Raw genomic sequence first — 27,961 nt, 5'->3', positions numbered from 1 at the left:
AAAAGGGGTCACTGTTTATGAGAACTAAATGGAAGCGTATCCTTCTTATCAATCAAAGAAATTAAGAGATGAGAATTGGTCTTTTATGCCATCTGGTTCCTCCCCCAGGGACCAGCAGACAATTGGTCCTTGCATTATTATATTCTTAGTGCTGGTTATTATTGTTACATGTTTCCATAGCTTTGCAGTAACTTCAGATGCTTCTGGAGCCACGATTCCTCCACCTCTCTTGACCAGGGAAGTTCAGGCTGTATTTCCTTTCAAATAACATATCTCCCTTCCTTTTCAATGTTTAGTAAGCCTTATTCCAAAAAACTGTGTCAAGTTACTGCGATTCAGCTTTTTCAAGATAATTTGTGTCTACTTGGTTATCCTTAACTTTTATCTTACTTTTTTTTCTGTTCTGAGTGATCTTAAACAATTTTAGGAATTTTTTATCGTGTAACGATTTAACATCATGAACATTTTGAAATTGGACCTCTAAGACCAACTGTATTCTTTACGAAGGATAGAAATGGGAAGGGAAAGATGATTGCCTCAATCTCTCTTTCTTCCCTCCCTTCCTCCTTCTCTTTCTCTTTCCCTTTCTCTCTCTCATGAACACGATACATGCACAAAATATAGTGGCCTTTACCCAACCAGTCTCCAAATGCCTCAACCAGATCATCACAGTGCCATCTGGATGACAGGCAAGGGGGGAGTAGGGAAGCGGGTGGAGGGACTAAGTGAGGTTTGGGAGATGAGAAATAGATATGTTAAGGAAGCAGCAAATTACAGAATTGCCAAGCCATAAGAGATTATACAGAACTTTTTCTTAGTTGTACAGTGTGGAAAGTGAGGCTCATAGAGTTAATGTCTAAGGCAGCTGACCTCTCTGGAGTCCACTGTTTTGTTTCCTATGCCAGGCTGAAGGCAAAGATTGTGGGGATTAACAGTACTGGGTCAAAATTCTGAAAATTTTTTCTTCCCATTAATTCATTCAGTTTATCAACATATATTTATTAACCAACTATGATGTACCAGACACTGTGCTAAGTGCCACGGACACCAAATGGTCCCTGACCTCAAGGAACTTATAGTTTATTCATCAAACTCTAGTGGGAAATAGAGAAGCAGAGAAATAGAGAATCACATACAGAAGGATATGTGATTACACATGTAGGATGCTATCGGAGCATATATGAGGTACCCCCTAACTCTCTTTTAGGTGGCTAGAGATAGCTTTCTGGCAGAAGTTGCCCAGGCCAAGGTGGTACAAGTATTCCAGGCTGATGTGATGTTAAAGTGTATGAAATCCCTGAGGCTAGAACTGAAAAATAGTTTTGTATGACTAGAGATTATAAAGTAGTCAAGGATTGGGCCAGGGTGGGGGTGAGGTTAAAGGGGTTGTTGAGCAATAGAGTATGGACGAGACTGTAGAGATATGCAGGAACCAAGTCGTAAAGGACCTTATTTACCATGCCAGGAAGTTTGAAGTTCTGCAGTCTATGAACAATAAAGAAGTCACCGGAAAGTTTTTAGGTCAGTGAGTGACATGATCATATTTGTCTTTTGGAAGGATTACTCTGTCTGCAACTAGAGAGTTGGTTGGAGGCAGGAAGACATGTGAGGCAGTTATTGCAATAATCTTCCTGGACTGAGATTATTATGTTTGTTATTGAGAGAAGGTTCACATGTGAGATAGGAGGTAGAGTCCGTAGGGCTCGGTTACTGGATATGGAGAATGGGAGAGAGGGAAGAATATGGATAACTCCCAGGTTTCTGGCTTGGGCAGCTAGGTGGGGTGTGAGCCATTTACTGACTTGGAGAACACGAGAGGAAGATCAGGATTGTTGAGTAAACGTATTTATGGGATGCCCACACTGAGAAAAATCTGGATTAGAAATATAGATTTGAAAGTTATCAGCATATATAGTGATATGATTTGAAGTTGCGGGGCCACCTAGAGCTAATCTGAGGATTAGTTGCCCTTAGACTTGACTTTGCCTAAAACTCCTTTAGAAATCTGAAAACTATAGACCCTCTCCCCCATAAAATTTACGTACACTATTCTGCTATTCTGCATACAATTTTAGGAAGGTCCACAGACCTCTTGAGGTGTATCCATGAACTCTCATGATGTACAGATTAAGAGTCCCTGATTTTAGAGAAAGAATAAATGAGGCATAAAGATGGAATGCTAGAAAACACTGGCACTTAAGAAATGGGTAAAGGAGAAGTTCATGAAAAAAAACTGAGAAAGATAAACCCAAGAGTTAGGGGGTATCACAGAAGGCAAGGGAAGAGAGAGTTTCAAGAAAGTAGGAATAATTAGCAGAGTTTAGTGCTGCAGAGAGAACGAATAAGATAAGGACTGAAAAGTGATCATTGGCTTTAGCAACAAAGAGTCTCAGTGACCTTTGAAAGGGTTGTTGTAAAATACTGTGGACAGAATTCAGAATGCATTGATTAAGGAGTGGATGAGAGGAGAGGAAGTGGAAGAGCAAATGCAGGCCACATTCTTCCAAGGGGGTAGAGTAGCTGAGTGGGGTGCCTTTGGTTCGTTTAAGGATGGATAGGGCATTAAGAGTTTCTTTTGGTATTTTCTTTGAATTAATCATCTCATTTTCTGATTTCTTATCATAAAAAGAATAAATAAGCCAAAGGAATCAGCTACATAAGAAATGAAGTCTTGCATATTTTCAGTGCTTCTGTCTGATATTAATAAATGATGAATTGTGGTTTTAAGTCCCTATAGTTCTATATCTTTTCCTCAGCTTTGCTTAAAGTGTCTATCTACCCAGAATCCACAATGCCTCAGGCAGTACTAAATTAGCACTATAGGTGTATTAAGGCCAGCCTGGCTGGGGTGAGCACGGCATTACGGCTGGCTTTAGACCCTTGGTTGAGGAGCCAGCTTTGTAATACCCAACTTAGTAATTATGGGGGCTTTATGTTTGCATGTGTGAACCTTAGTTAAGCTTTGTCATAGATTTTTCAAAACAGCTGGGGCTTTTGGTCTATGAAGACATTAATTTGTGTCTCCAGGGGCTATGCATAAATCAAATTGGAAAAGAGGGGAGGAGGAGCGAATTTCTTTTTTTGTGTGAATCCCAGCTCCCTGTTAACTGTTTAATTGAGGAGAAGGAAAGAGTCCTGTGACAATTACTGAATTAGTGATGCACTATTATCTTCTTCTTGATGTATTCTAGCTTGATGTATTTATGTTAAAAAGACAGTAAATGCTGTCTCCCATAGAAGGCCCTGCTTTGTTGCCCTTCAACAGAAATGTAGACTCAGATTTCACAGTTCCTGTTGTTTCAAAGGGAGGCTTAATGTTGGTTGGTGATGGTTGTTAATTTAAACTTTAGTCCTCTTTTCTTAACCATCTGCTGTGTAGTGGCTCTCAGTCACAGTTGAGGGACAGCAACAAGGATCCCACCTGGGGAAAGCAAAGTAATAACATAGGCCTTTGGAAATTCTGCTGTTTATTCCTCTCTAGCCCTGTAAAGGATTATTGGGAAATCATGTCATCATGGAAGCAATGGCCATGTTGGAGTGAACTAAGGGTGGGAAGCGAGCCTGGTCCTAAATTCTTATGACCTTTGGAAATATCAGTATAAATGATGCTGTGGTAATCCAAGGTTTCCCCCTCCTCCACTGTGTTATCTTTTAGCCACTGCTGAATCTAACTGAAGAATGCCAGAATGTAGAAAAATGGGGCTTCTTTGTGGTTTTCTTATTTTCATATTTGCTACCTTTTTAGTCCATTAGAGAAGTAGATGATAGCAAATACAATACACTCTGCAAAATAATACAGTAACTCCCACCCTGCAAATGTGTGTGTGTGTTTGTGTGTTTTACTAAATATTCTTAACATTCAAGAGCATATTCATAGAGGAAAAGGACCGTGTTCTCCTCTAAAACAATCCAGTGATGCCACTGTCAGAATCCAGAACATGGCCCATGACTCAGTATGGTGTTTCTCCAATTAGAAGCCAAAACGAAACAGATTCTATCACTGTCTTATAGAACAGTTTTTATTAATAAGAATAACCAGTGTTGATTCTTAAGATTTCAGTTGGGCTGTGTATCTGTAGGTCTCATTGAGCAAAGTAAGAAGTTGTTTGTTTGTTTTTTGAGATGGGGTCTTGCACTGTCACCCAGGCTAGAGTGCAGTGGTGTGATTACAGCTCACCACAGCCTCAACTTCCTGGGCTCAAGCAATCCTTCTACCTCAGCTTTCCAAGTAGCTGAGACTACAGGCATGCACTGCCAAGCCTGACTAATTTTTGTATTTTTTTTAGAGACAAGTTTTCACCATATTGCTCAGGCTGGTCTTGAACCCCTAGACTCAAGGAATCCACATGCCTTGCCCTCTCAAAGTGCTGGGATTACAGGAATGAGCCACCATGCCCGGCCAAGGGTTTTAATAGACTGTTTTATTTATTTATTTATTTATTTATTTATTTATTTATTTATTTTTTAAAAGAGAGAAAATCTTGTATTATAAGTGTGCATTGAGTTGGTTGTTGCTTTTTGTTGCTCCTACTCTAGCTTTTAATAATTATTATTGGTTTCTTCACGTTGATTTAATTGGTTGTGAGTTGTTTAACCATAGAGTATATAGAATGCATTTTAATTTCAACAGTATTTTTGGCCTATAATTTTCTAATAATTTGAACATAAGGCATAATGGTGTTATAGCTCAAATGTAAATAATCTGTATATTTTTCTTAAAAAATGTATCTGTACTTCATCTAAAATTCACTTGCACAGTAATACTTCATTGGTGATATGCTCTCTATAAATCTGTGCTACTTAAAACATAAGTTAAATAGTTACAAGATAATAAGATGACCAGGATATTTTTAATTTATAGGGCATTTAAAATACATTTCACCTTATTTAATGCTTACTGTGATTTTGAGAGAAAAATTCCTCCATTTTATAGAAATGGAGAGACAGAGGTAGGATGAAATATAGACTGTTTTCTGAGAGGATTGTAAAAAAGAGTAGAGCCTATCCAAGATGTCAGCCCATACATTGAAATTCTCTCATAAACCGATAGTTTTACATGCACTAGAGGCAAAAAGGCATTACCTGACAGTAGTTTTGATGACTACATTAAGATTTAAATTAATAACAAAAATTTTAAACATATTTATTGTATGATTGCTGATCCAAAGTCATGGGCAATATAGTTCTCAGACTTTTTTACAACATATTACTAGGTCTTGAGCTGTGAGGAGTATGGTTGTCTACTAAAGTTCAGGTTCCATTTCTTATAGTTAATACATTATAAATGGTCTTGCTCAATACAGCCCTCTGTTGTAACTCAATTGTAAATGTTGAACTTTCCCCTTCAGCTTGGATATATAATGATAATCTTTGTAAAGCATAATTTAATTAACTGTTTTAAAATTATTTAAGCAAGAGGTTAGGAAGAGAAATATTCAACTATTTCAGTTCTCTATTAAAATTATAAAAGTTGTTTAAAACTCCCATTTTTCCCGGGCTATTCCTCAGCAATAACCTGATTTAAAAAGCAATTAAGTATGGTGTGGGAAGATATAATACCTTAACCATAAGGCTACAGAATAGAACTATACATTATTGGACCCAGAAGAGATATTAAAACTTAAGTAGTCCAACACCCTCATTTTATGAATGAGGAAACCGTGATCCAAATAGGTTAAATGACTGATCCATGTTCAAACACTAGGTAGGTTAGTGGCATAGATAGGGCTTGATCTCAAGTTCCTTGACTCAATTAGTGATCTTCTCAGTATTCTTTACTGCCTCCAGAAAATCAGAAAGGTGAAAACTGAACTCCAATATTACACTTCCAAAGCATGAACTCTACCTCTTTACATGACTTGAGATGCTTAATCAGTAGTAACCAACAAGATTAAATTTATTATCTTTTTAATTCAGTAAGTTGCCTTGGAAAGCAACCACATAAAATGGATTGCAAGAGACACTTTGGCGGCAATGCCCCTTAGTGTGTGTGGCAGGAATTAGATTCACTGCATTGTGTATGTATCCCAACTGCTAAGAAAGCAGAGTCCTAGGAAAGAGCTACAGGAGCAGGCCAGTGCAACTCCTCTGATTCAGTAAGTAACTTGAATTTCTGATGGAATTTATCACTCATTAGCCTATGGGCCAGGAAAAAAGGAAATCAATGAACAAAAAATATCATAGTGATAAGAGACTATATGTGACCCCTACCTTGACCACATGTGCCTTGAGTTGAGCTTTATCTTCTCGAGATTAAGGAACAGTCTACTCTGCATGGCATACTTGGGCCATACCTAAAATCATGCTTTCTATCATTCTGGGAACTACTTCTTAAGAAAGATACTTGACAGACTAGAATGAAACAAAGATGGCCAGGGGCTGGAAAACACTACCATGTAAAGAAAGGTTAGATATTGGGCTTTTAGTGTCTAGAAAAGAAAAAACTTAGGAATGGAGAAGGGGAAGGGAACTGACATATTTTTAAGTACCTCTTTTGTGCCAGGCACTTTGCGTATATTATCTCTTCTTATTCTCACAGCCACCCTGTACAGTAGGAGTTATCTTCTTTTTTGTTGTTGTTGGTTTCTTTTTTGTTTGTTTTTTGAGACAGAGTTTCGCTCTTGTCCCCCAGGCCGGAATGCAGTGGCGCGATCTCGGCTCACTGCAACCTCTGTCTCCTTGGATCAAGCGATTCTCCTGCCTCAGCCTCCCAAGTAGCTGGGATTACAGGCATGCACCACTATGCCCGGCTAATGTTTGTATTTTTAGCAGAGACGGGGTTTTACCATGTTGGCCAGGCTGGTCTCATAACTCCTTACCTCAAGTGATCCGCCCACTTCAGCCTCCCAAAGTGCTGGGGTTACAGGCATGAGCCATCATGCCAGGATAGTAGGTGTTATCTGCTTTCAAAGTGTCTGATTTGAAGGTATCAGATAACTTGCCTAATACAGAGTTAATATAAAGCAGAGAGATGCATACCTTTGAAGCTCATGCTTTGGATAGGAGTCTTCAAATATTTGAAGAGCTGATATGAACAAGAGGATTGAAGATTGATATGTGTCACTCCAGAGGGTATCCTTAGTAGTGATAGTAGCAGTTGTAAATGTAGCAGTAATATTAGCAGTAAGATCAAGAGCTGATATTTACTGAGCACTTATTTTGTACCAGGGACTGTGCTAAGTACTTGATTTGTGTTAACTTGTTTAATTGCAATCCTATGAGGTAGGTACTATTGTTATCTCCATTTTTACATATAAAGAAACTGAAACACAGAGATTAAGTGATCTACCCAAGATCATATAAATGAGGGAACCTGGATATGAACCCAGGTAGCCATAGGAATTCAGATTTTCGCCTAGCATATAGGGGAAAACCTTTCTATTCAAACTGTCTGGCGGTGGAATGGGTGTTCTTATGAAGCAAGGACTTTTCCAGTCCTGAACATGTTTAAGTATGTCTAGATGCCACTGTTAGGCATGCTGTGAATGAGATTCTTTTACTGGGATCAAGGTTAAAAGTAAGATAACCTCAAAGGACCATTTCAACTCTAAAATTATACAAATCTGATTTGACATGTCTACTGGTTAGTGAGCAGCTATGACCTTTCTAGTCCATTTGTGGACTTAGTTGGGTACTCAGAGCTCATAGTAGAAAGGCTTCACTTCTGTTACTGTAGATGAGCTGTTGGCACAGGAGAAGTATAAGTTAATGCACTGGGCCACCAAATGGAGAGAAGCCATTCCAAGGGTCTGTTGCAAGAACCAATTTAGAAACCACTGGACAAGGTCAAAAGAAATCCATTAATGAAAATTGATTAGTCTGTAAGGTTCTGGTTTCTCATTGTAATAATTTGTAATCCAAATGAATTTAGTACCCACTTTCAAATTCCAACACTTTCAATTTTATCTTAATAATTCCTAGTATCAACCTGCCATATGCTTCTTCCCTTTCCAACCCTGTGATAATGTCAGTTATCTATTCATTCAGACACCTTTGTATTTCTAATATTGGCCAACTAAAAAAGCCATCTGTGGGTTCATATAAAATGCTCACCTAGAGGATAAAAGGTTTCATTGAATTTAAAAACACAAAGTACTATGCCATGAGGAAAATAACCCACAGATAAAGCTAAATAGCTTACTCTCTTCCTCTCCCCCAGCCTTTCTTTGCCTTTCTTTGGCTACCTTTATAAAATAAAATATTTCATGAGAAAAATTAGCTCTCTAGGAATTCCATCACTGTCAGTAGTAAAAGTGAGAAGACACTATCAGTAACCTCTTTTACCCACTCTTGAGAGCTTTGGAAAGGCAGCTAGGAACGTAGCTTATCACTACTTCCTGGGTCAGAGATAACAGCTGTTAGTCACCTGGGAAGGCAGCAGAGCAGAGAGAAGCTAGCCAAGAACTGCTCTGGAGAAATACAAACATAAAAGCTTAAGACTCTTCAATCAGTTGCTCCTCAGACTGCTGAAAACCCCCTGTAGAAGGCCAGTCGAGTCTTTGAATGTGCTCATTTTTTTTTTTCTGGAGACTCACTGATCAATTTGGTATTGTGCATTGTACAAAGGATCAAAAATCAGAGTCTGCCTACATTGATTGTGATTCCATGTGTCTTGCTAAGGTTACGTGACATTTTTCCCAGATGCTCAGTCCCTAGAGAAGGGAATTCTCTAACAGTGGTCTAGTTATGTTTCATATCTAGCCTTTCTCTCAATTCAACTTAAAGCACCAGTGATATTTCAGAAACAAAGTCTGAGACTTTTATTATTAGAAACATTTTTATTGACCTAACAGAAGCCTTTGATTTAGTCACCCATATACAGTTTCTTCAGAAATCCCGTGATTCTGGATTTAGCAGTGACCCTGTAAAATGGTTTTCTCTCCATTTAGTTCTTGCCAACTTAGCCTCGACCTGGAGGTCCAAAATACTTGCAGACTGTCATTTTTAGTGAAGAATAACTGAAGTCTTTCGTTGGCTGATGGTGAAGGAGAGTTCAAAGACTACGCTGGCAGCTCCATTTGCTATCACAGGAAGTTTCTCCTTTTGAAATCATCTCCCTCTTTCTAGCAGATCTGCTGTGTCAAGGGTGTGCTTTTTAGCAGAATTTATTCCTTGAGTTGCTTTCGGTGTAAGTTATCTGCAAAGGCAAAACATTCATGGTAATTTATGTGACATAACTTATTTCAGTAGAGTAATAGAATGGTAGAGCTAAAGGGGATGTTATGGAAGCTTCTGCTTGATATTCTTGTTTTATAGATGGGGAAACTGAGGCACAGAGGTGTTAAATTACTCACCTGAAGCCATACAAACTAGTTAGTGTCAGAGCCTAGAGTACAAACCCAGGCCTCGGGACTCCTAATCAAGTGTTTTTTTCTAATATGTTATGCTGCTTTCTGCCTAGCTAATTCGTGTAGAATTTACCTATCATAATATACATACATATTACATGTAAATAAATATTAAATAGACAGATATGTATGTTATGTATTCTATTGGTGGCAACATAACCTAGCAGTTAAGAGCAGACATAGATCTGAATTCTACCCCTTAATACTGGTGTGAATGTATACATCTAACTTAATCTCTGAGCCTCAGTTGCCTCATCTGTAAAACTGAGACAATAAGAGTACTCACTCACCTGTTAAAATTATGAGAATGAAATAAGAAAATGCATGTAAAGTACTTTGTAAACTGCCTTGTGCATAGTAAACTCTCTGTGAATGATAGCTATTTTTACTATTTAACTTTTTTCTATATAGCTCATTCAGTTCCACCCCCCACCGCCTCCCCTCCCCAGGATGAGAATTCCCTTGGAAATCTTAATTTTATTAAGCTAGCATGCAAATGTGTTGTAATGCAACATTCTTCTAGCTAGACTGAGTCTAGTGTATCTGTTTTTTTTCTAAGTTAATTGCAGCCTGATTTGGTTCTGTTTAGTATCACATCTATTTCCACAAACAGGAAATTGTCTTTTCTATATTTTGATTGGCAGGGATGGTTTTATAAACTATATTGAATTATATTAGTGTTTCTCTATGGTGGAGGAGACACTTTCATTATAAGCCTCTGTTCCTAGGTGCTTATCTTTTTCATAAAATTACCCTTTGGACTGATGTATTTTCAACTTGTTTTCTATTTCAGATGGGGTGGAAAAATTGGAGGGTGTGAAAAATGGAGAAATTTCTTATAACATTTTATTTGACTACCAAGTAATCACATTTGAAGATTTTCCTGTTTGCCCCTGCAGTTTCAAAATGTTAAAATCCCATAAGAACCCAGAAACACACAGCATAATTATTTTAAAGAACAGCTTGCAGAAATTCTGCAGGAAGCAACAATGTATATATGAGATCAGAGTTTTATGAAGACACGGTACCTGGTCCCAGAAGCTTTCTTTTTCAAATCATCTTTGACAATCGAGATTAAAAAAAAAAAAGACAAATAGATTTCTTTAAATTGGATCCTGCTTTGTTATATTCCCAGCTATCCTCCTTTCTCAACATGGTTGAAAAATGTTTATCAGGGGAAAAAAAAGAGGAACAAAGTAAGCAGGAAGTAAAGGTTAAAGAGCAGTTAAGAAAAACAAGAATTTGTAAATGCCCAAGACCAGAAACCGGAGCCCAGTGCCCTGGGGATTTCAGTCAAATTGCTGTCAACAGGATCTGAAAGAGATGGAGTTCCATTGTAAGGAGAGTGCCATTCATTAGGGCTAATCCCAACTAAAGGGGATGTGCCTGAGTACCTGAGAGGAGGCAGAGTCAGTTGAAAGAGAATATAAAGGTTATGTCTAGGAGTAGTATAGAAACTTCAAAAGCAACAAGAAGACATGGGCTGAAAGGTTGGGCTCTATAGTGGAAGTTAGAGAATGGAGGAACAAGAAGGGATTGTTTTATCACTTAAACTAGTACTAAGTAATGTGGTTATTACAAAATTGCCTGTAACTTAGCAACCCCCATTTAAAATGTAAGCTCCATGAGATGAGGGCTTATTGTCTGTTTGTTTACTGATACTAATATATATATCTCCAGCACCAAGAGCAATTTCTGGCCATAGTAGGTGCTCAGTGAACATTTGTTGAATTAGTGAATGATAGAAGTTTACTATGAGGTTTCCTCCTATAAAATAAAGTTAATTTGTTTCCCTGAACTGCCTCTAATTGCTGCTTTGGAGTGATGAGGAGTAAAAGGTAAAGAAGGACCTTAAACCCAAGATGTAAATCAAAGTAACAGTGGAAACCTGGCTCAGGGCAAGAATGGTTTGAGGGCTGCCTTTAGAAAGTGTTCCATTCATCTTAGTTGGCAGCAAAATCGCCTTCATTTTTCGGATATCCTTTCCCTGAATCCTTAGATGTACTATGCTGGCATTAGAAGGGAAGCTAAAGTCAGGCATCCCCAAAGACAAGACTCCCTATTTGACATTTCACCTGCTACTGACAGCCTATGGCAGTTGCTGTTCCATTGCTTGATTCAAAAAAACAGCCTCACACATCAGAAATTCTTCCCCCCTTGTTACTCTCTTAAGCTAATTTGAACCTGTGTAACCTCTGTGTGGGCTCGTCATGCCAGCTCCTAGAACAGTGCCTGGCACCTAGCAAGTACTCAATAAATATTTATTGAATGAAACGACCCTGTCTGGTCTCACAGTTTGAAAGACTACCTGTTTTGTTGGTCCCCTTTCCATAGTCCCCCAAAGAAGATAGAGATATATCAGGAAGAGCAATTATGGGGAAATTGAAGAAAAGGAATGGAAAGTAATTGCAATTTCATGTGTGCCCAGATTCCAGTGCACTTTGGAAAATCCCCTCCGTATCTCAGATGAGTTGCAACTCCAAATCAACATGTAAAGCAGTTATTTTAAATGTGCAATGCTAAGACTCAAGAAAGTTTAGTACCTGCTTTCATTCTAGGGTGAAAAGAAAATTCAGTGCTGTTTGTGTGTGTGTGTGTGTGTGTGTGTGTGTGTGTGTGTGTGTGTGATTATACATGAATACTTATACTTCAGATGACGTTATTAAAACATATGTGTCTTTCTTATGTTTATCTGGCCCACCAGTTAGGGAGTTATATTTAGGTATGTAATTCAAGATTTCCTCACACCTAATCCCAAAGCATTTGAGCATAACCAACATTTTGCTAAAAGGGGGTGGTGTGTGAAGGCAGATATGCTTTCTACAGGATGAAAGTTGGAATTTGAGTCCCTAAAGGTTTATAGACAGGCCTAGGAGACCCCTGCTCTCAAAGCCAGGAAGTAAAATATCATGGACAGTATTTTTAATACTAGGGCTAGATGTGTAGGATGTGAAACTAGTACAGGAAATTTAGAACAAGAACATTTGGCAACCTTGTGCTTCCTGTCTAAAATAACCATTATGGAACATCAGTGGGAGGTGGTAGGCTATAGTGAATTTTAACATTTTTTGTATTAGACTGCCATACTACTGAACTTTTCATATGTTATAGATTTTTTTCTGTTTTATTTTTGCTTTTTGTTCTTAGAAAAGTCAGTTCCCAAGTGGGGTGTGTGTGTGTGTGTGTGTGTGTGTGTGTATGTGTGTGTGTGTGTGTGTGTAAGGGAATATCTATATTTAGTATCTGCCTTTAGGTGTATTTGTTTCCAGAGTTACTTCTTTAACAACTGACATGGTATTCTTTGGGCAAGTCATTTATTTTGAGCACTGTAAGATTTCTGATGGGAGTGCTGTAAGCTCCAGCTCTAAATTGATGTTGAAGAATCGATAAACTACTTAGCAGAGGAATAAATGGCTTGAGGAAAAAAATAACCAAGTAAAATGTGTCTCTCTTTCTGTCCAAGCATGTATAGTGAGACGGAGCATATTTGACAAAGAGAGCATTAAACGGCTGTCACCTTCAGGGTCCTGTCCCTCATCTGGTTTAATTTTGTAGATTTTTTTTTTTAATTCAGACAGAGATCACCACAAAAAGATTAGAACCTGCTGATTAAAGGTTGGCAAAAGGTTTGGGATCATGAAAGCAACCAGATTCTTTTCCTAAAGAAGTAAGAATTATTTTCCCCTACTTAGAGTATCCTTATTAAATAGCATTGTCCCAGATATTATTCAGAGCAATCCAGGAATTAACTTTTTAGTTCAGCAAAAATTTATTGAGCACCTTTTTGGTACTAGATACTCTGCTAGATATTGTAAAAACAACAGTGAAAAAATATATACAAAGGTCGCTGCCCTCATTGAGCTTTACAACAGACAAATAAACATGGAAATACATAAATATATGCATAAAATACTTATCAACTATAGGAAGTGCTAAGATAGCTATGGATGAGTAAAAATATGAGAGGACCTACTTTGATATCATGGAAAAAAGGTTTCTATGAGAAAGTGAATTTTAGGCTGAGACCTGATAATTGAGGAAGTACCTGTCATGCAAAGAGCCTGAGGAACAGCAAGCACAGGTCTCTGAGGCAAGAGATGAGTGGTTGTATTGCGGGAACACAGGGAAGGCCAGTATAGTTGAATGAGAGGGAATGTAGCATGAGATGAAGTTGGGAGAGGTAAACATCATACTGGGCTTATAGGTCCAAACAAGTTTGGATTTTTATTCTAAGAGCAGTGAGAATCCATAGAAAGATTTTAAGCACAGGAGTGATAATGAATTGTTTTACACTTTTTAAAAGACTACTTTGACTGCAACCGTGGTTTGAATGTCTCCTCCAAAACTCATGTTAAAATTTAATTGCCAATGTTAACAGTATTGGGAGATGGGACCTGTAAGAGATGATTAGGTCATTGCCAATGTTAACAGTATTGGGAAATGGTACCCGTAAGAGATGATTAGGTCATGAGGGCTCTGTCCTCATGAATGAGTTAGTGCCACAGGACTGGATTAGTTATTGCAGGAGTGGACTTCTGATAAAAAGATAGAAGTTTGGCCCCCATTCCCTCTGTTTTGTGTGCTTGCTTGCCCTTCTGCCCTTCAGCCGTGTTATGATGTAGCATGAAGGCCCTTGCCAGATGTAGCCCCTTAATATTGGTCTTCCCAGCCTTCAGAACCATAGGCCAAATAAACTTCTTTTCTTTATAAATTACCCAGTTTGTGTTATTCTGGTATAGCAACAGAAAATGTACTAGAGATAGCTGCTCAGCAGAGAATGAGTTAAAGATGGGCAAGAGTGGAAGCATGACACAGCCAGTTAGGAGGCTATTTACTTACTGCAGGAGCCTAGATAAGAGAACATGGTGACTTGGATGATGTTAGCAATGGTGATGAAAAATGTACAGATTCAAGATGTATTTTAGAATTATAATCAAAAGATAAGATTTAACCGATGGTTGGAATATATGGAATGTTGAAAGAGTAGGAGCCAAGGCCAACTTCCAGTAGAAAGACAGAAATGATGATGCAGAAGAAGAAAGAGGAACATCTGCAGTCTAAGCAGCAAGAAAGGATGGGATTTAGCGACACTTGTTCCATTTTAACAACACAGAATATAGATAGAGACATAGACAGGTTTGCAGATTTGGTGGTAGGAAGATGAAAGAGCTACTTCTTCTGATACCTTTTTCTTCTCCATGAAGTATGAGGCATATCATTAGTTAATGGCAGGAAGTGGAGTGGAGTGGGGGAAAATATAGGAGGATTGAAGATAACAATGAAGATATTGTCACTTTAAAGAGTGGGAAAGCAAGTTTAATACAGAAGTAGCATTGTTGAGCAGAGATGAGTGCTCAGTTGAGGCTTGTGATCATGAATGCTTTAAATGAACGTGAAGCCCATTTGCTCAGCTATGTGCATTTTTCCCCATTCAAGTTTAGTAGCTCAGGTGCAGGTCCAGAAAGGCAATTTAATTGAATTCAACTCACATTTTGTTACATGAGTGCATCAGGGAGAATATAATATGATATAATAGAATGAGCACATGACTAGGGGTCAGAAGGCCTGGGCTGTGATGCAAGCTCAGCTAATTACAAGCCATGTGACCTTAGGCAAGTTGCTTAATATTGCTCTGCCTCTCTTTTCTCATTAGGAACATAAGAAGATTGGACTAAATAATCTTTAAGGTTCTTCTTAACTCTAAAACTCTGTGATTATTTTCTTTTTCCTCTTGTGACAATTCTTGATCTCAACCAATTTCTCATTAATAAAATGTTTTTGTTAAATATGTAGACTCTGAAGCCAGACTGCTGAAATTTGAATTCTAGCTCCACCAGTTCTAAGCTGTGCAATCTTGAGTAAGTCATTTCACCTTTTAATGCCAGAGTTGCTTCATCATTGCCATGGGCGTCATAGTAGCATATACCTTAAGAGGGTTATTGTAAGGATTGAATGAGTCAATGTGTGTAAAGCTCCTAGAACAGTTTCTGGCATGTACTGTACCCTCAAAAAATGTTAGCCATTATTGTTACCCAAAGTTCTGTATCATTTCTTGGGCCAGAAAATGTCTGAAAGTTTGGAATTCCTTATGCTTACAGGCATGCATACCCCTAACACCCTATTTAGAGCACCTCATTTTGCTTCAGGGTGATAGTGTGGCATAGAAAATGTATTTTGGAACCAGACGAACCTTGGTTTGAATCCTGAGTCTGCCATTTACTTAGCTGTGAGACCTAGGGTAAATAAATTAGCCAGTTGATATTCAAATTCCCCTTCTACAAAATAAGTAAGCAGTAATATTTATCTGATAGTTTGTGGATAAAATTAAATGAGATAGTGCATGTAAAATACCTGACCATATAGGGCTTGGCATGTAATGGGCATTTAATAACAGCAGTTATTGCTGTTATAGTATCCTGCCCTAATATATGACTTCTTATGCCAGCTATTGAGGAATAGGTGACTTTTGTTCTTATTGCTTCTTATTCTCATGGAGCACCGAAGAGCAACAAGTAGCCCATCAGAGAGAAAGATCTGAAAGTAGGAGCAGGATCAGCCAGTACATTGAAGATGGGGTGAGGCTAGAAGGGCTAAATAAAGAAGTGCACATTTGTTATATGTTACAATAAACACTAAAAACACATAGATTACTTTTAACAGTGAAATCTTCCTTTTGAGTTGAATGCCATGCCAGTGATAGTGGGTTAATAGAACCAGAGACAATCATAAGGCTGATCTACTCAGTTCTCAGTCTAGGAAGGTCACCATTGCCTTTCACTTCTAGACAAAGACGCCATTCACGGCTTAATTCTACTGATCCCAGGACGTTGGCCATTCCTGGGAAATCTTTGAGCTCCTTGATGAAAAGGCATCATATGAGGCTGAAAAATGTAATATAATTTCATTTATAACTGACCCTCAGAACTCCTTTGGGAGCAGCACCTATTTTGCTTCCTGGATTTGAAAACTTCCTACTGAGTTGTATTGATTATTATTTTATTTTACAGAAAGGAAATATGGGGGAGAGCCCCTCATTTAAATGATTTTGTGTAACAATCAAAATGGATCATATAGGGCTAAAAAAGAGCTCAATGAATATAGATGTTTTAATCCCAATGTTACTTTCCGTATGGTATTAATTACAAACATAAATTAGACCAGAAGTTTTTGTTTTCCTATCAATTTCATTTAAGAAAAATATTAGATTTAATTATCCTAGCTAAAATCTTAGTCTTTCTTGTTAAATGTATTTCATCTTATTAGCCTGTTAATTTCTTCTGTTAAGCTGACTGACTAATATTAATGCAAAGTTTTATCAACTGAAAACGGAAAGTAAACTTGTATTGTACCCCTAATTTCCCCTTGTATGTGCTAGTTAAGTAATTTGAACCCAGAAGCTAAATTACCTTTACTAGAGACCACAAAGCAGATTAGTTAGTATGAATTATGGGCTTGCTTTCTGCCTCAGATATTTGCTCATATCTATTTTTCTTGCTCTAAAAAGATTGTGGTAATAATTGTGATCTTACCAGGTTACACCGTTCTAGTGGCTGGAGCATCAACTCGGATATTGGGATACCATTTGCAGTTGAGCAGGTTCACATCACTTCTCAATCCATTTCCTCTTCGGAAAAATGACAATGATAATATCTGTCCTTATCTCTTTTGCTTGGAGGTTGTAAGAATAAATGAAACATGGATGGAAACAGTTTGAGCATAAATACATAAATCCGAGGAATTATGACTCTTCAGGAATTATTTATGTATACCAGTATTTGTGTATTTAGAAAGCCCCTCCCTTACCCATAAACACATGCACACTTCACCATCATCATCAAACTTAAAGAGACATGCACACATAAATCCTCATGTTTTCAAACATACTTTTTTTCCTCATTGGCTTTTAAAAAATGGTTACTTTGAACTGTGTAGAATTGGATGGACATTAATATACTTTTATCTGGCTATGTATCTATTTATTTATTCATTAATATAGTCAACAGATATTTATTAAGTTCTACTATATGCCAGATACTGTAATATGCTGGGGGAAAAATATAATAATCAAGACAGGAATGACTCTTGGCTCATGAGCTTATGGCCAAATAAGGAAGACAACAGACTCTTTAAAAAGTTTAAGTACTGTAATGGGGGATTGTCAGAGCATAGTAGAGTACCTAGCAGAACCTTAGATGTAGAGGGTAGAAAAGGTAGAAATGCTTCCCACAGAAGTAATGTTCATGCTGAGGCTTTTAGAGAATGAGTAATTGCAACCTAGCAAAGAGAAGTGGGGAAGAGCATTCCAGTCAGAGGGGGCAGAATCACTGCAAAGTTGTGCAGTAATTTGGTGTGTATATCTATCTACACTTAGATATCAACCCATTTACAGGTAGCTGTGCCTCTGCCTAAACTTGGAGAAACTGCATGGCTTTTCAGACCTTGTGAATTGTTGGCTTTGTCCCTGAATACACTGAATGGATGAAACCCTGGCCTAGCATGAACTGCTTTTGCTCGTTGATTACTTTTCTAACTCATAAAAGTCAAGTTCTCAATCTTGAATGTTTTTTAGAACCTTCTTATGGTTCTGAGTGTTGTTTATTTTGGTTATCCCGACTGCAGATAATTGTGTATTTGCACTGACCATGAATTTAGATGCTTTTAACAAGTTTCTGCATTTTGGCTGGGTTAGTTACTCTATTTAGTAGAGTTGTGTCCATCAACACACAGGCTGTTTTATCTATCCAAGCCCCAATAAGTGAGTATAATTTCCTGATATTAACATAGACTCAGAAACCACTGGTCTATGTGATTTGAATAATGACCATTTATTTTTAAACCATTTTAAGACCATATAAATCACTTTCTAAAATTAGTTGAAGTCATTTCCTTCCCAGACTTTCTAGGATTTTCTTCCTTCACTGAGCTCTAGCTACTAACAAGCTTTCAGTTGTATATGTTTGAATTATCTCTTGTTCACTTTTAAAAATTTTCCTACACCATTTACAAAGCAACAAACCACTGCCTTGTTTTTTCTTAAACCTAAAAACACTTTACCCCACAAATTGATGTCTGGACCCAAGCCAAGCACAGCACTCTTCACAAGGAAAGTAGAGAATGTTGTGTATAATTAACAGAGGGCCATGGTAACTCATCTCACTGGCTTGAATATGGATCTAATGTCTGCAGATGCTAGCACTTCTGAGGCACAGAAAATGAATGGTTTTAAATGTGATCCTGGTATGCACTTGACAATACATATGGTGAACGACTATAATGTGTAATTACATATGCTTATCTCTTTGTGGGACTTTTATTTATTTATTTACAAAAAGGGCACCAAAGCCCAACTCTGTCTGTTTGGACTGTGTAAGTTGATGGCTGACAAAGCAGGGTTCAGAGTTGACATAATGTCTACCACATGGTTAACTTTAGTTTTTGAATGTGACTATTGATAGTTGTAAAGAAAACACACTTCTCTATTCTTTCATAAAACATCGTATTATGAAAAATTTTAAATATAGAGAAAACATGGTATACAGTAGTCCTTTTTTTCTGCAGGGAATATGTTCCCAGATTCCCAGTGGAAACCTAAAACCATGGATGGTACTGAACCTTATATAATGCTATATTTTTTCCTATACCTACCTATGATAAAGCTTAATATATAAATTAGGTACAGTAAGAGATTAACAACAATAACCAATAATAAAATAGAACAACTATAACAATATACTGTAATAAGTTATATTAATATGGTCCTCCTCTTCCTCCCTCTCTCTCTTTTTCTCTCTCTCATAATATCTTATGCATTGTACTCAGCCTTCTTCCTCTTGTAATCTATTGACATGATAACTGAGAGGTCTACTAAGTGACTAATGGGTAGGTAGTGTATACAGCATGGCTACTCTGAATGAGGCCGTAAATCATCCATGCCTCAGATGAAATGGAGTAGAATGAGTGAGATTCAATTGTGCTACTCAGAATGGTGTACAATTTAAAACTTAGGAATTGTTTATTTCTGGAATTTTCCATTTAATATTTCCAGACTGTGCTTGACCACAGATAACTGAAACTGTGGAAAGCAAAACTGCAGTTAAGGGAGAACTACCGTACAGTTATACTCACCATACAGATTTACCAAACATTAATATTTTCTGTATTTGTTTCCAGCCACTTAAGAATACAGATATACCATATACCAGTTGAAGTTTACTTTGTGCCCTTCCCTAATGAAATTTCCCTCCCTTCATACCCAGAGGAAGTACCCCCCCGAAGTTGGTGTGGCCCTTTACCAGCCATGTGTTTGTACACATGTATGAATTTAGGAACAGTATTTGGCATAGTTTAAATGTTTGTAAAATTTGTATAATACTGTATGTATCATAAAGTAACTTGCTTTTTTCACTCTATATTTTTGAGATTTATCTATATTACTATACATATCCATTCATTTTAACAGCTGTAGAATATTTCATTTTATGAATGACTATTTCTTAATGTATTTGTCAATTTCCTTGTTGATGGATGTCTCAGATTGCTTCTCATTTTTTACTATTACGAAAAGCATTCCTATACACATCATTTTTTCATGTCATTTTGTGCATGTGTGTGAGATATTTTTCACCTTAAAGTGGTGTTGCTGGGTTGCGGAAGGTATGCATCTTCAACTTTACTAGATATTGCCAAATTGTTCTCCAAAGTTGTTGTACCACTTTATACTTCCACAGATAGTTCATGGGGGTTCCACATCTCCAGCCCTCAGTATTGTCAGTCTTAAATATTTCATCAATTTCATAGGTATGAAATAATGTCTCACTGTGTTTTAATGTGCATTTTCCCATTTATTAGTGAGGTTTATTAGCTTTCCATGTGTTTATTGGCCATGTGGGTTTCCTTTTCTGAGAATTGCCTATTCATATCATTTGCTCGTTATTCTATTTGGTTGTTAGTCTTTTTGTTATTGATTTGAAGGATACTAATCCCTCATGCTTTGTAAATATCCTTTCCCAGCCTGCAGCTTGTCTTTTAACTTTACTTACTGCCTTTGCTGAACAAGCCCTTTTAATTTTACTGGAATAAAATATATCAAGGTCCTATTCTTTAAATATAAAACTGTGTAAAAGAGAGTATCATTCTCACACAACCTGGAATACTTCTCATTAAATTAAAATGAAGCAACTTGAAGTAAGACACCAGATTATATTGATATGACTTCACATAAAATAAGCTTTGGAAGTTACCTGCAAATGTACGAGAGTTGCTATCACTAAAAATGTAACTTCAGTAGACCCTTGAAGAAAACTAACTAAAGTTATGGAAGATGAAAAAGATCTAGACATCTGCTGTACAACAATGTACAGGTAGTTAGCAATACTCTATTGTACATTTAAAATTTTGTTAAGAGGGTAGATATCATGTTATTTGTGTTTTTTTCTGCAATAAAAAGGAAGCTAGGTAAATAATTCGGTATATTTCTTTCAACCTGGAAAAAAGCCATTTCCTAAGAAATCTGTCAGTTCCTTTATCAACAGCTATTTGCCTTGGATAAATAATTTCACCTCTCTTCTCATTTTTCCCAAATATAAAGTGAAGAAATTGTTTTATAGTCTCTAAGGCCACTCCAGCTCTAATAGTTTTATGGCATGAGAAATAATGAGTTAAATGTATTCTAATGATTTCAAATGTTCATTAAGAATTTTTCCAATTCCAGATCATGCAGATTTTTTAAGGAATTCTACTAATATCTCTTGGAGGGCTTTTCGTACACATCTGTAGTCTCTTTCAACCCTTGAGTGTCATTGGTAGTGCCCCAGATAATTCCCATAGATGCTCTCGGAAGACATAAGCTAAGAGAAGAAAAAATAATGAAGAAGAAAGATAAGTTGTAAAAGATCAGAGAGGGAAGAGGGAGTGAGGATAGTGAAGTATATTTGGAGAGGAAGCTCCAAGACCATTCTGTAACACCAAAGTTGGTGACCTGTGTTCCAAAAAGTCAGAAAAATATATTATTTTAATAAAGAACAGAAGGTCTAATATGTGGATGTGGGCTGGCAAATATGTGACTCTTGGTCAAATGCATACATCAGCAGCATCTGACTTATAAATTATTGCCCTTTGCATTTAAAGATGATCTGTATCATGACTTTTGATCTCTATTGGCAAATGGCTGTCTTTTGCATGCTGCCTCCATGTGAAAGCTCTGATTTTGCAGTGAAAGCCACTACTAGAAGATTTTTTTAGATTTTTTTCATATAAGACTGTGCTTCTGGTATTCTCGGCTCGAATCCTTATCAGAAACAGCCATCCTATCCCCTAAGGTCTGCTGCCACTCACCAACACTCTCTCAGGTGTGTTTGAGGTGAGCATCCTTTAAAAATCATTTCTATACTTTTCATTGTCCCATTTATTTTTCCTGATTATCTTTTATTTTGCAGATTTTCTGCCCCTCTATATATCTGCCAGTAGCCTGGTTTTGTTAGAGGAGTTTAGTGTGGGTGTTCTTCTGTTAGACTTCCAGGTGATGCTGATTAAACTATGAAAGAAGACAGTTAGCATCCAAGTCTCATAGTAAAATAAAAGGATAGGCATGGTCACTCTACCCGTCAGCACCCTTTTACATTACAGATGCTCCTTGACTTACAATGGGGTTACATCCCAATAAACACATTATAAGTTGAAAATATTGTAAGTTAAAAATGCATTTAATATACCTAATCTAGCAAACATCACAGCTTAGTCTAGCCTACTACTTTAAATGTGCTCAGAACACTTATATTAGCCTACAGTTGGGCAAAATCACCTAACACAAAACCCATTTTATAATAAAGTATTGAATATCTTTTTTTTTCTTTTTTTATTATTATTATACTTTAAGTTTTAGGGTACATGTGCACAACGTGCAGGTTTGTTACATATGTATACATGTGCCATGTTGGTGTGCTGCACCCATTAACTCATCATTTAGCATTAGGTATATCTCCTAATGCTATCCCTTCCCCCTCCCCCTACCCCACAACAGTCCCCAGTGTGTGATGTTCCCCTTCCTGTGTCCATGTGTTCTCATTGTTCAGTTCCCACCTAGGAGTGAGAACATGCGGTGTTTGGTTTTTTGTCCTTGGGATAGTTTGCTGAGAATGATGGTTTCCAGCTTCATCCATGTCCCTACAAATTATTGAATATCTTATGCAATTTATTGAACACTGTATTGAAAGTGAAAAACAGAATGGCTTTTTGCTGCTGCCTGGCATGTCAAGAAAGTATTGTACCACATATTGCTAGCCTCGGAAAATATCAAAATTCAAAATTTGAAGTAGTATTTCTATTGAACGATGTTGCTTTCGCACTATTGTGAAGTTGAAAAATCATAAGTCAAACCATCATATGTCAAGGACCATCTGTACATTCAAGCCTTACAGGAACATTAACTTTTCCTTGAATTTACTTTTGCATTCTGTGCACTTTGTGCCTTTGCTCCAGCAGTCCGTCTGGCCTGAAATGCTCTGCTCTCGTTTCACTTCCTCTCCTCTGTGTTCTACTTATTCTCTCTCTTTTTTTTTTTTTTTTTTTTTTTTGAGACGGAGTCTCACTCTGTCACCCAGGCTGGAGTGCAGTGGTGCGATCTCGGCTCACTGCAACCTCTGCCTCCTGAGCTCAAGCAATTCCTCCTGCCTCAGCTGCCTGAGTAGCTGGGACTACAGATGCTTGCCACTAAGCCTGTCTAATTTTTTTTGTTTTTTGTAGAAACGGGGTTTTGCCATTTTGCCCAGGCTGGCCTCAAACCCCTGGACTTAAGTGATCCACCTGCCTCGGCCTCCCAAAGTGCTGGGATTACCTGCAGTAGCCACTGCGCCTGGCCTGCCCTACTTATTCTTTTTTTTTTTTTTTTTTTTTTTTTTTAATTTATTTATTTATTTTTATTTATTTATTTTTTTTTTAATTTTTTTTTTTATTATACTTTAAGTTTTAGGGTACATGTGCACATTGTGCAGGTTAGTTACATATGTATACATGTGCCATGCTGGTGTGCTGCACCCACTAACTCGTCATCTAGCATTAGGTATATCTCCCACTGCTATCCCTCCCCCCTCCCCCGACCCCACCACCGTCCCCAGAGTGTGATATTCCCCTTCCTGTGTCCTTGTGATCTCATTGTTCAATTCCCACCTATGAGTGAGAATATGCGGTGTTTGGTTTTTTGTTCTTGCGATAGTTTACTGAGAATGATGGTTTCCAATTTCATCCATGTCCCTACAAAGGACATGAACTCATCATTTTTTATGGCTGCATAGTATTCCATGGTGTATATGTGCCACATTTTCTTAATCCAGTCTATCATTGTTGGACATTTGGGTTGGTTCCAAGTCTTTGCTATTGTGAATAATGCCGCAGTAAACATACGTGTGCATGTGTCTTTATAGCAGCATGATTTATAGTCATTTGGGTATATACCCAGTTATTCTTTAAGAATGAGCTCAAACATAACTTACTGAAGAGGTCACCCCTCCCCAGAGAATTAGTCATTTCTTTTCTTTTTTAAAAAAAATTTTATTTTTAATTAACAAATAAAAGTTGTATATATTTAATGACATGATGTTTTGAAATATGCATAAATTGTGGAATAACTAAATTGAGCTAATTAACATATGTGTTACATCACATACTTAACATATTTTGTGGTGAGAACACTTAAAATGTACTCTCTTAGTGATTTTCAAGAATACATTATTATTAACTGTAGTCACCATGTTTTACAATAGATCTCTTGAATTTAGTCCTCCTTTCTAACTGAAATTTTGCACCCTTTGACCATAATATCCTCAACTCCTCATCCCCCAACCACTTCCTGGTAACCACCATTCTACTCTGCTTCTGTGAGTTTAATTTTTGTAGATTCCACATATAAGTGAGATCATGTGGTATTTGTCTTTCTGTGCCTGGCTTATTTCACTTAACGTAATGTTCTCCACTTTCATCCATGTCGTTGGCAAATGACAAGATTTCTTTCCTTTTAAATGCTGAATAGAATTCTTTTGTATATATTTTCCTTATTTTCTTTATTCATCTGTTGATGGAAACTTAGGTTGATTCCACATCTTGGCTATAATGAATAGTGCTGCAATGAACATGGAAGTGTAGATACCTGTTTGGACATACTGAATTTATTTCCTTTGGATGGACACCTAAAAGTGGGATTGCTAGGTCATATGGTAGTTCTATTTTTAATTTTATGAGGAACCTCCATACTCTTTTCCATAATGGCTATACTAATTTATATTACCACCAACAATGTGCAAGCACTCCCTTTTCTCCAGATTCTCACTAACACATGTTATCTTTCATCTTTTTGATAATAGCCATTCTGTCAGGTGTGGGGTGATAACTCATTGTGGTTTTATCTGCATTTCCCTGATAATTAGTAACATTGAGCATCTTTTCACATACCTGTTGGCTATCAGAATGTCTTCTTTTGAGAAATGTCTATTCAGGTCCTTTGTCCATTTTTAAAATCGGGTTATTTTCCTGCTATTGAATTGAATTCCTTACATATTTTGGATAGTAATTCCTTATCAGATAAATGGTTTGCGAATGTTTTCTCCCATTCTGTAGGTTGTCCCTTCAGTCTATTGTTTCCTTTGCTATGCAGAAGCTTTTTAGATTGATGTGTATCCTATTTGTCTATTTTTGTTTTTGTTGTGTGCTTTTGGGGTCCTATCCCTAAAATCATTGCCCAGACCAATGTCATGGTGCCTTTTTTCTTTGTTTTGTTTTTCTTTTTTAATTATACTTTAAGTTCTGGGATACATGTGCAGAACATGCAGGTTTGTTATATAGGTATACACGTGCCATGGTGGTTTGCTGCACCCATCAACCTGTCATCTGCATTAGGTATTTCTCCTCCTCTACCCTCCCACCCGCTGACAGGCCCCAGTGTGTGATGTTCCCCTCCCTGTGTCCATGTGTTCTCATTGTTCAACTCCCACTTATGAGTGAGAACATGCAGTGTTTGGTTTTCTGTTCCTGTGTTAGTTTGCGGAGAAGGATGCTTTCCAGCTTCATCCATGTCCCTGCAAAAGACATGAACTCATCCTTTTTTATGGCTGCATAGTATTCCATGATATTTATTTGCCACATTTTCTTTATCCAGTCTATCATTGATGGGCATTTGGATTGGTTCCAAGTCTTTGCTATTGTCAATAGTGCTGCAATAAACATACGTGTGCGTGTGTTTTATATTAGAATGATTTATAATCCTTTGGGTATATACCCAGTAATGAGATTGCCGGGTCAAATGGTATTTCTGGTCCTGGGTCCTCGAGGAATTGCCACACTGTCTTCCACAATAGGTGAACTAATTTACATACTCACCAGCAGTGTGAAAGCGTTCCTGTTTCTCCACATCCTCCCCAGCATCTTTCGTTTCCTGACTTTTTAATGATCGCCATTCTAACTGGTGTGAAATGGTATCTCATTGTGGTTTTGATTTGCATTTCTCTAATGACTGGTGATGATGAGCTTTTTTTCATATGTTTGTTGGCCACATAAATGTCTTCTTTTGAGAAGTGCCTGTTCATATCCTTTGCCCACTTTTTGATGGAGTTGTTTGTTTTCATTCTTGTAAATTTGTTTAAGTTCCTTGTAGATTCTGGATATTAGCCCTTTGTCAGATGGATAGATTGCAAAATTTTTCTCCCATTCTGTAGGTTGCCTGTTCACTCTGATGGTAGTTTCTTTTGCTATGCAGAAGCTCTTTAGTTTAATCAGATCTCATTTGTCAATTTTGGCTTTTGTTGCCATTGTTTTTAGTGTTTTAGTCATGAATGGTATTGCCTAGGTTTTCTTCTAGGGTTTTTATGGTTTTAGGTCTTACGTTTAAGTCTTTAATCCATCTTGAGTTAATTTTTGTATTAGGTGTAAGGAAGGAGTCCAGTTTCGGTTTTCTGCATATGGCTAGCCAGTTTTTCCAATACCATTTATTAAATAGGGAATCCTTTCCCCATTGCTTGTTTTTGTCAGGTTTGTCAACAATCAGATGGTTGTAGATATGTGGCATTATTTCTGAGGTCTCTGTTCTGTTCCATTGGTCTGTATATCTGTTTTGGTACCAGTACCATGCTGTTTTGGTTACCGTAGCCTTGTAGTATAGTTTGAAGTCAGGTAGCGTGATGCCTCCAGCTTTGTTCTTTTTGCTTAGGATTGTCTTGGCTATATGGGCTCTTTTTTGTTCCATATGAAATTTTAAGTAGTTTTTTCTAATTCCATGCAGAAAGTCAATGGTAGCTTGATGGGGATAATATTAAATCTGTAAATTACTTTGGGCAGTGTGGCCATTTTCATGATATTGATTCCTCCTATCCATGAGCACGGGATGTTTTTCCATTTCTTTATGTCCTCTCTTATTTGCTTGAGCAGTGGTTTGTAGTTCTCCTTGAAGAGTCCCTTGTAAGTTGTATTCCTAGGTATTTTATTCTCTTTGTAGCAATTGTGAATGGGAGTTCACTCATGATTTGGCTGTCTATAATTGGTGTATAGGAATGCTTGTGATTTTTGCACATTAATTTTGTATCCTGAGACCTTGCGGAAGTTGCTTATCAGCTTAAGGAGATTTTGGGCTGAGACGATGGGGTTTTCTAAATATACAATCATGTCATCTGCAAACAGAGACAATTTGACTTCCTGTCTTCCTATTTGAATACCCTTTATTTCTTTCTCTTGCCTGATTGCCCTGGCCAGAACTTCCAATACTATGTTGAATAGAAGTGGTGAGAGAGGGCATCCTTGTCTTGTGCCAGTTTTCAAAGGGAATGCTTCCAGCTTCTGCCCATTCAGTATGATATTGGCTGTGGTTTTGTCATAAATAGCTCTTACTATTTTGAAATATGTTCCATCAATACCTAGTTTATTGATAATTTTTGGCATGAAGTGGTGTTGAATTTCATGGAAGACCTTTTCTGCATCTATTGAGATAATCGTGGTTTTTGTCATTGGTTCCGTTTATGTGATGGATTACATTTATTGATTTGCGTGTATTGAATCAGCCTTGCATCCCAAGGATGAAGCCAACTTGATCGTGGTAGGTAAGCTTTTTGATGTGCTGCTGGATTCGGTTGGTCAGTATTTTATTGAGGATTTTTGCATCAATGTTCATCAGGGATATTGGCCTGAAATTTTCTTTTTTTGTTGTGTCTCTGCCAGGTTTTGGTATCAGGATGATACTGGCCTCATAAAATGAGTTAGGGAGGAGTCCCTTTCTTTCTGTTGTTTGGAATAGTTACAGAAGGAATGGTACCAGCTCCTCTTTGTACCTTTGGTAGAATTTGGCTGTGAATCCATCTGGTTCTGGGCTTTTTTTGGTTGGTAGGCTATTAATTACTGCCTCAATTTCAGAACTTGTTATTGGTCTATTCAGGGATTTGACTTCTTCCTGGTTTAGTCTTGGGAGAGTTTATGTGTTCAGCAATTTATCCATTTGTTCCAGATTTTCCAATTTATTTACGTAGAGGTGTTTATACTATTCTCTGATGGTAGTTTGTATTTCTGTGGGATCAGTGGTGATCTCCGCTTTATCAGTTTTATTGTGTCTGTTTGATTCTTTTCTCCTTTCTTCTTTATTAGCC

General features: G+C 37.4%; 1 protein-coding gene and 1 long non-coding RNA gene across 18 annotated transcripts in view; one reads left to right on the top strand and one right to left on the bottom strand.

The window, feature by feature from the left end:
- Positions 1 to 27,961, top strand: part of ENOX2 (ecto-NOX disulfide-thiol exchanger 2) — a 280,885-nt gene that overhangs the window by 58,224 nt on the left and 194,700 nt on the right. The window lies entirely within an intron of this gene.
- Positions 8,763 to 17,108, bottom strand: LOC124905217 (uncharacterized). The gene is made up of 2 exons (XR_007068334.1): positions 16,877 to 17,108; positions 8,763 to 9,136 (listed from the first exon to the last, which is right to left on the bottom strand). It is a non-coding gene; the product is annotated as an uncharacterized LOC124905217 (long non-coding RNA).

Source organism: Homo sapiens, chromosome X (genome assembly GCF_000001405.40).
Source record: "Homo sapiens chromosome X, GRCh38.p14 Primary Assembly".
NCBI classification, from domain to species: Eukaryota; Metazoa; Chordata; class Mammalia; order Primates; family Hominidae; genus Homo; species Homo sapiens.
The sequence above is the reverse complement of the archived record's forward strand: the minus strand, read 5'-3'. Positions and strand labels throughout refer to the sequence as shown.